A 9678-nucleotide genomic window follows, 5' to 3' on the forward strand; every position below is an offset into this window, starting at 1 on the left:
TCACAACCCAAAATCCACAACGGGTTGCCCACTTTCTCACTTCCCACTCATTCCTCAACCTCCCCCTTCCTTCAATCTGGCTTTAGCACCCACCACTCCACTGGCATGGCTCAGTAAAGTTGCTAGTGTCTTTCTGATTGCAAAATTCTTCTCTTGTCAGCCTCTGAAGCATTAAGCACTACTGACACAAACTCTTTCTGAACATTCATTTCTCACTTACTTCCATGATTTGATCATCTCTGGATTTGACCTCTTAGGAATTCCTTCTGTGTCTCTGCTGTGGTCCTTTACTTCTTCCCACTTCTTAACTGCTGGTATTCTTCAGGTTGTATTTTGAGAGCTGCAACCAACCAGTATACTTGAGGTGAATTCATTGATGCACTTTCCAGATGCCCCTGCAAAAATAAAAGACTTCTTACTTTGGCTGCTGGGAGCACTGCTGGCAGAAACACTTAGCAGTCAGCCTTCCTCCAGGAAGAGAGCCACCTCACCCTAGGGCAGCATCCCATTCCCACATCAAATTACTGGTTGAATTAGGGATTTAAGGCTCAGCTCCTTTGTCCCAACTCAAAATAAATCTGAAGAGTCATTGTATTTCAGTACTCGCAGCAGGATCAGCCAAGTTCTTTACTGGGATTTTATCTCAGGTTGACTTCCACCTCCAACTGGACTGCTACACAAGAGAGAAATAACCTCTGTCTTGCATTTTGGGGTGTCTTTGTCCCAACTTATACAGTCACTATCCAACCTATTTTTTTAAAATGCATACTTGAGCCAGTTGCTCCACACTAAAATCTGTCAATGGCACCCCAATTGCCCTTAGGAGAGGATCCACGTTTCTATAAAAAAATGTTTAAAAGACTCCAAATGACTGGGCTTCAATGTTACCTCCAGATATACTCTCTAGGCAGCCAGGGACATTGTCACTGAGTTAGAGAAGGGCCCTAATTTCCAACCAGGGTTGTAATTCCTATTTTAGGGCCTTACACTCAATTTTCTAGAGCTCTGCAAACCAGAAGGCGGTACAGTGTAGAGGAATAAGACCAGATGAATCAGACAGACCTGAGTTCACATATGGTCTCCACTGTTCCCTGGTGTGACCTCTGAAAAAAGACTTAACTTTCCTGTAAAACAAGTACAATTGCTCACCTCAGGATTGCTTTGAGTGTTAAATCAGATAATATATAGTATTTGGCTGAGTGCCACGCATGTAGTAAACACTCAAAAAATATTATTATTGCTGCTCTCCTGGCTTTTTAGTTTGTTACAGCATAGAAGCATAGAATAACTGCCCCCCCCACCCCCCCCGCCCAAAAACACACACACCTGTCCTCTACCTGAGGATGTGTCAAGGACAGTGCACAGTGAGTGTTTTTGGTTTTGGGTTTTGTTTTTTTTAGACAGAGTCTCATTCTATCTCCTAGGCTGGAGTGCAGTGGTGTGATCACAGCTCACAGTAACCTCAAACTCCTGAGCTCAAGCCATCTTCTCACTTCATCCTCCTGAGTAACTGGGACTATAGGCATGCACCACCATGCCCAGCTAATTTTTTAAGTTTTTTTTTTTTTTTTGTAGAGACAGGGTCTAGCTATGTTGTCCAGGCTGGTCTCAAACCCCTGACCTCAAGCAATCCTCCCCATTTGGCCTCCCACAGCACTGGGATTATAGGTGTGAGCCACCATGCCTGGCCACTGTGAGCTTTGTATCTCAAATTATGTCTCTCTAGTTTCAATCTATCCCTGACTCAGCCCAAGCCCTCTCCTACACTCCTGCCTGTCTGGTATAGTTTGAGAGAGAATTAATAGGTGGTCATGACTTCCTAGTATATGAGCAGCCAAATTCCAGCATTCTTGTGCCTAACTATTACCCCTAAATCCCTCTCTAAGAGTTCACCCCTTTGAATCATATGCAAGTTGACCCTGGCTTCCTAGTTCTCTCTTGGAGACTTCAGTAATAAAAGTCCTTCATGTAAAGTACCCAAAGCGTAGCTGCATTGTGGTCCAGTCATGCATTAATTAAAACAAAAAGCCAGCAACTCAAAAGTAATTTTTTTCATTAGCATTTTTACTGCAGTTTCTTGGGAAAAAAAAAAAAAAGCCAAATAGGGAGCACAGAAGAACTTAGAAATTCTCTTTTCCTTTTCATTCGTTTTCAATTACTCCCAAACCCTGCAGCTACCCCAAAGTCTCTCAGCTCTTTGTCTAAAGCCAGATACATGCACACAGCCCACCAGAGCAGGCTTGCACTAACTTGAAAAAGCCAATTGTTAAATTTTTAGGAATTTTGCCAGCAAGCTGTTAAACATAGCCATTATTTAAGATTAAACTATATAAACTTGCAATGAAATAAATTATAAACAGAGATAATAAATATACAATACTCGGGAGGAAGATGAATAAACATGTAACAACATGGGTGAATCAAAATAATTATGCTGAAGCCAGACAAAAGAAGAGTATATGCTACATGATTCTACTTATATAAAACTGTAGAAAACTAATCTATAGTGATAAAAAGCAGATCAGTGGTTGCCTGAGTAGGCAAGGGTAAGAAGTAGTGAAAGTAAGAGATTACAAAAGGGCATAAGAAAATTTAGGGGAGTAATGGATATATTCATCATCTTGATTGAAGTGTACACATCACAGGTGTGTACATTTGTCAAAACTTATCAAACTGTACGCTTCAAATATGTGCAACTTATTGTATATCAAGTATGCCTCAATAACACTTTTTTTTGAGATGGAGTCTTGCTCTGTCACCCAGGTTGGAGTGAAATGGCACTATCTCAGCTCACTGCAACCTCCAGCTCGCGGGTTCAAGAGATTCTCCTGCTTCAGCCTCCCAAGTAGCTGGGACTACAGACATGCGCCACCACACCCGGCTAATTTTTGTATTTTTAGTAGAGACGGGTTTCACCATGTTGGCCAGGCTGGTCTTGAACTCCTGACCTCAAAGTGATCCATCTGCCTCAGCCTCCCAAAGTGCTGGGATTACAGGAGTGAGCCACTGCACCCAGCCAACATTTTAAATAAACACTCAAAATCCATCACTTTCCAGTTATTTTACTATTTTATTACATTTTACTATACATTTCCTATACATTTTATCTATACACTTGAAGTTTCTTTACAGCTATTACATCTGTATGTAGAAACACTATATAATGTGCTGCTTGGCATCTCCTCCCAGCTCCACACCCAATGACGTCACTTTGGTACCTTGAAATTGGCCATGGTTGGGGGATTTACACTATGGAAATCAACAAACACTACAAATCAGAACTTGATTTATTGTTCTGTTGACTTCTGACTTTAAAAAGTCATGGAAAAATGCTAATAATGCAGATTAAACTTCAAAACATGTCATGCCTATAGCCATTACACTGTCAACAGCACAAAATATTAAGAAAATCCACTTTTTAAAAAGTGCCAGGCATGGTGGCACATGCCTGTAGTACCAGCTACCAAGGAGGCTGAGGCAAGAGAACCGTTTGAGCCCAGGAGTTTGAGACCAGCCTGGGCAACATAGCAAGACCCTCTCTCCGAAGAAAAAATAAAATACTTTTTTCAGCATTTAAAAGCTATTATCTGATTCAGCATAGAAGTCACTCGCTCACATCATTGGCCAATTTGTAAAGTTCCAGCATATTCTTTGTTGTTTTATTTCCTTATGTCTAACTCATTAACAAAAATAATAACTGATGCTTATGTTAGAACTATATTCATTTGTCAATTGCAGCCATAGGTTGGCTATGAATACAAGAATTCAGCAAAAATCAATGAAAACATTCAATAAGGATCAATTGGTTGTATAGAATTTATAATAAAGAATATTACATTTTATGGCCAAGTGCGGCGGCTCATGCCTGTAATCCCAGCACTCTGTGAGGACAAGACGGGTGGATCACTTGATACCAGGAGTTCAAGACCAGCCTGGCCAACATGGTGAAACCCTGTGTCTACTTAGAATACAAAAATTAGCCGGCCACGGTGGCATGCACCTGTAATTCCAGCTACTCAGGAAGCTGAGGCACAAGAATTGCTTGAACCCGGGAGGCACAAGTTCATGCCACTGCACTCCAGCCTGGGCGACAGAGTGAGACTCTGTTTCAAAACAAAAACAAAAAAAAGAAATATCATATATTTAATTTATAAATTATGTGCTTCACAGAAAAATGTATAATAAATATATGTATGTATGTACACACACGCAAACACAGTTTTGTTTTCAGGAAGCCAGTTATTAAGCATTTACCAGCACTACACCACTATTATATAATGTTTGTTTGCCAGATAACCACTCCATTTCTTGGTGTCCCCTGCCCTTTTGTCACCTCAGGTATTTATGGTGTATCTTGTTGGTTGAGAGTTTTTTGTTGTTTTTGTTTGTTTTTCTTTTTTATTTGTTCATTTTTCCCAATACCCAAATTCTGTATAAGAAAGGAAGAGTCTGGACAGACCACATAAGCAAGAATCCTGCTTCCTTAGTGAAGAAGGAAAATTGCAATCACTTCAATATAACCTGCTTACTTTGCTTCTCCTTTATTTCTACTCCGTGCATGTTTTTGGCCTAGTGTCTTAGAGCTGGCAAGGTGATTACACACACCCATGCTTGCTTATGCTTGCTTCAGCATTGCTGGCTACACTCACTTCCCCACTTCCCTTTAAGCTGCCTCAGCAGGGTCCTGTTGTAAAAGTTAGCATGCATTTGCTAAAGGCATTGCAAAGAGAAGTACAGGTGTTCATTGCATGACATCCACTGGACTCAGATGTGAATCCTAGGATCTGAGTAAAGGCTTGAGTCCATGATTCTCTGACCATAAAATCATATCAATACTCTGATTACAGAGATAGAAGCATTTCATAGGCTTTCCCGAAAGGCCTGGAAAGATACAAAAATGAAATTACTCATTTCTCGGGGTGGTAAAAATGTAGGCGAACTTCTTTTCACCTACATTTTGAATTCTACTGTGTTAGAACTCTATTAATGTCACTATAAATTGTTTGCATAACTATATAAATTAGGAATTTATTTATATGTTGGCATATCAAAATAGAAAAATGGCATTCTTGTTTTGTTTCTATGCATCCTAATGCACAAAGTGTTATACAAATTTCCTTCTATTCATCCCTATTCCAGGACCCTTCCACCCTCACTCTTATTATCTACTGTTTTCTCTCTATTCTTGTTTCCTCGCCTTCCTTCATAGCCACAGCTGTTCTCCTCCCACCACCAGTCAGAGCGGCTGCTTCCTGACCCCACAGGGTCTCCACAAGCATGCTCCTGCTCCCAACAGAACCAAAAAGACCACTGCATCCCCATCCCTGTGGCTGTGTCACCCACTGAACATCCCAAACATGCTCCATTTCCCCAGAAAGTCATTCATCATCATCCCTTCATGCCTTTTGAACTGTTTCCTCTTCCTGAAATGTTCTTCTCTGTTACTGACCATGGAAGCCCTACCTCTCTTTCCAAACTCTAGAAAATGCCACTTCCTTGGGTAAGTCAAGCTTCTTCCAAGGCCCTGAGGGAATGAATGAGCCCCAGGTCTTGTACTTCCTTAGCCTCTGCCTGGGTCTCTATTGTCATGCTCCTCTCATGCTGCCTGTCCATGTCCCCTCTACCTGTCTGAGTAAACTCTTATGTTAAACTACACATTCTTGTTCCTGGAACAATGCCTAGCTCATTCATAGAACAAATAAATGCCTTGTTCTATAACTCGTTATTTATGTTAATTCAATGAAGTTACTGTGTAAAATGTGTCAGATACTAGGGTAAGTGCTATGGATTCTATAAAATAATTAGGCCTAGTCTCTGTGGTCAAGAAGCTTGCAGATAGGTGATGAGGAGGGGTCCAGGGCTGGACTAGGGTGAGGCAACGGAGGCACTCACCCCAGGTGCAAATTTTAAGGGGGTGCCCAAGAACTCGGTAATTAAGATAAATAATATTTTAATATTATATTTTTAAAATCAGAATTAATGCTAAAAATCCATGATGATCAAGATACCAAAATGTTAAACAAAGGCAGAGTCCTTTTCCTTTTGCCTCAGGCTCCAACGTGGCTTAGCACGGCACTGTGTGAAGGGGTATGTGTGCAGGGGAGAGAGTAAGTAGGGAAGCAAATGACAAGCAAACAGGACACGGAGTAGGAGGGCCTAAATGAACCTCCCAATCAGCAATATGGGGCCCTTCACCTGCTTATCTCACCCTGACCCTAACCTGGCTCTTCCCCTGTTTGTCCTGCCTCAGTAAATGATGCAACCGTTCAAACAGAGCCCAAGCCGGAGACCAGGGAATGGTCTTGCCTGCTTTCTCTCCCTCTCCCCTGTCTGTTATCCTCTTTCTCTCCTTTCATATCCATGGTGCCGCTTCCTAGGCTTCCCGCCACCCCTGTCCAATCCACCCTCCACACTCCTCCAGGAAGCTCATGTAAACTCCAGTGGGATCCCCAGAACAGTTTAGCAGATAAAGCCCAAACTTCTCAGAGAGGCGTATGTGAGCTGGGCCCTGTCTGTGCCCAGATTTGAACTCAGTCCCCTGCACTCCCAAACCCTGGCCCTTTGCTCTTGCTTTCCCCTTACCCATCAGACGCTTTCTTTTCCACATCTGGAGAACTCCTACTCATCCCACAGGTGAGAAGCAAAATCTTGAACCAAAGACTGCCTGACAATAAATCCAGTTACCACTACAATTATAGAGGTATACATGCTTCTTTGCAGAAATTCTGCTTAGAGATTATCCCCTTCAAGAAAACTTGCTTGATTCTCCCCTATCTCCTAGGACAGTGTTGAAAGGCCCTGCTATGTCCTCTTATAAAGGCCCAACTCCATATTTACCACAGGTGCTATATTTGCCTGTTTACTTATCTGTCTCACCACTGGAAGCAGCCCACAGTCAGGGAATCATTGGGGATCATTTTTGCATCCCAGCTTCTAGCCACTTACTTATATGTAGTAGATGTTCGATAAATGTTTGTTGAATGGATAAATGAAAGTCTGAGTGGCATCTGGATTGATAGGAAATACCAGTTAGATGAAAGGAAGAAAAACACCTATCTCTTAGGGCTACTGTGTACCGTGGGACAGGTTGTACACTTCGTAGCTTTAGAGAAATGTGATTTATGTCATGTCTATGTGAATGGCAACCCCAGAGATCACACAGGGGAATTCTAGTCCACCTCTCAGTTGTCATTCTTTGAGGGCATGCACCCTGTCTTAATCCTTTGAGGTCCACATACAGCACCCACACAGTGCTTCATGCCCTGTAGGTTCAGCGGGCTATTAGAGAAATGAATGGATATACTTAAGTGAATTTTTCATAAAGTTGTGGTAGCCAAAGTATTGCCCTCTTCACATTAGGGATATTTTTATTCTTTGAACTATAATGAATAGTCAAAATCTTTTCCTCCCATCAAGCATTCATTCATTCAACAAAGATTACTGAAATATTCACTTATGTGCCAGGTATAGGCACTGCCCTGGACACTGAGATAGAGCAGTGGGCAAAACAAAGCTCCCTCATTGAACTTATATTCTAGTGCAGAAAACACTGGAGACAAATAAGCAAAAGAAGTATGTAATAGAATGTTGAAGACAGATAGGAGGAAGTGATATGAAGAAAATTAGTATTGAGTTGGGAAATAGAGGGAATCAGGGTGAACAATTTTAGATAAGATGATGTTTTCCCCAATTCATATGTTGAAACTTAATTCCCAACAAGATGGTAATCAGAGGTGAGGCCTTTTGGAGGTGGTCAGGTCATGAGGGTGCTGCCCATAAAAGAGGCTTGAGGTAGCCTGTGTGCCCCTTCTGCCACAGAAGAGAGAATGCAGCAAGGTTATTAGAAGTGAGCCCTCACCAGACACTGCTGGTGCCCTGATGTTGGACTTCCTTATCTCCAGAATTTAGAGCCATAAATTCTGTTGTTTACGAGTTAGCCAGTCTAAGGTAGTTTTGTTATAGTAGCCTGACAGACTAAGACAGGTGGTTAGAACAGGCTTCTGTGAGGAGGCCATGATTAAGCAGCCCTAAGTCAATGAAGTGAGGAAGTGAGAAGTGCTCTAGGTTAGGGAAGAACTTACAAGGCCACCAGCAGAGCAAGCGGAAAGGCCAGAAGGTAAGAATGAGCTTGGTGTGCCTGAGAAAGTGCAAAGAGGAGTGGGAGAAGAAAAATGCCAAAAAATTTTTGCATTCCGGCCTCCTCTTTCTAGATTCCATAGGCAACACAAAGACCTTCAGTGACTAATCTTTTTTTTTTTCAAGTCACTCCTTACCTCAGGCTACCAGTTTACAGCACAATTCAAGAGATTCTCTCTTTTTTATTGTTTTTTTGACATCTTTACATCGCAGGCCTATCTTTTTGGTATGCAATTCTGGATATTTAGAAAACATTCTCTTTTCAACAACCAATACAAACTTTCTTTTTTTAAAAAAAAAAAAAAAAAAAAAAGGAATGTGAGTATGGAGAGGATTGTTTTTCCATATGCCCACGCCTATCTGAGACAAGTCACATTTTCGCTCATTATAATTTCAGAAATGGTCTTTTCCTGACCTTGCTCCAATTTCTGAGCAACTACTATGTGTTGATTATTGGCAAGGTGACCAAAAAGCAAGAGGAGCACCGGCAAGAAACAAACAATATGAAAAATTAAGAGGATTGACTTTTGATATTTTTGCTTCTCTAGGCAAATGGTGACACAAAGACAACTTCCATTCCTTTTCATAAGGAAGGCATGGTTAAATATGAAGGTTTTCATCTTAATAAGGGTCTTTTCATTGGTTGTTAACCAAGCCAAATTTGACCAAAGCTTTTCTTCTCTTTTTCTAGGAGATATTTGCAGGCATCTTATTGTATTGAAGGCTGTCTTGTCCTTTAGAAAATAATTTCTATACAATTTTTTCCTACCATAGAATACCAAGAAGTCAGATAATATAAAATACTGTATGATCAAATGTGTTATGCTGACAATATTCTTTTTCTGCATAGACCAAGTCATCACAATGAAAAAACCCAACTCAATTTCACTTGATCCCTGTGGTATTATTTCTCTGTCCTTCATACTACATTCCCAGAAAATGATGGCTCATCTGGTAGGTGGCAATAATAACCCCACAAAGATTAGAGCCTTTGGAAGCATCAAGAATAAAGTTCACTCTGTGACTTGATAGACAATGGTTAAAACTCTAATTAGTCTTTTATAGAACCTTGGCAAGAAGTGATAAAACTATGAACACTTACTTCTCTTTTTCCCAGCCTACTCCATGTGAATAACAGAATTTCATATATAATTCAGAATTTGGGAGGTAGAGGAGAGAAAAAAGGTGCATGTATTTTGAAAAAGCTCCCCTTACATCCTGGTGTTTCTCTTGATAAGTAATTTTCCCTTCCACCTTCTTTGTACTGTTCTACTGTTCTGTGGCTATATTTCTATATGTATTCTGTTTTTCATTTATAGATATATTACTTATTTATCCCCTTCCTTACCTCTTCAAAATTTAAGGAGGTATTATTTCTTTCTCCCATCATTCTTCTATTTTATTATTTTCCTGAATATCTCCTCTCTCTTATCATTCTTTCTCTCACAACTGATCATAATACAGAATTCAAGTTTATTTTAAAATAGTTATTGTATCTCTGAAGTTTATATTTCCCATTCTTTATTGTGAAGTCCGAGTTTG

General features: G+C 40.6%; 2 annotated features.

Moving 5' to 3' along the window:
• Positions 6061 to 6355: an enhancer, noted in NCBI's record as "tiled region #4459; HepG2 Activating non-DNase unmatched - State 3:PromF, and K562 Activating DNase matched - State 5:Enh". NCBI's record gives its function as "activates a minimal TATA promoter and a strong SV40 promoter by Sharpr-MPRA in HepG2 and K562 cells {active_cell/tissue: HepG2 | K562}" and the evidence as "EXISTENCE:reporter gene assay evidence [ECO:0000049][PMID:27701403]".
• Positions 8705 to 8874: an enhancer, noted in NCBI's record as "experimental_69494 CRE fragment used in MPRA reporter constructs". NCBI's record gives its function as "activates a minimal promoter by MPRAs in K562 erythroleukemia cells, with activity observed for both the introgressed and non-introgressed 3:31531038 variant alleles {active_cell/tissue: K562}" and the evidence as "EXISTENCE:reporter gene assay evidence [ECO:0000049][PMID:34662402]".

Source organism: Homo sapiens, chromosome 3, assembly GCF_000001405.40.
Source record: "Homo sapiens chromosome 3, GRCh38.p14 Primary Assembly".
Lineage (NCBI taxonomy): Eukaryota > Metazoa > Chordata > Mammalia > Primates > Hominidae > Homo > Homo sapiens.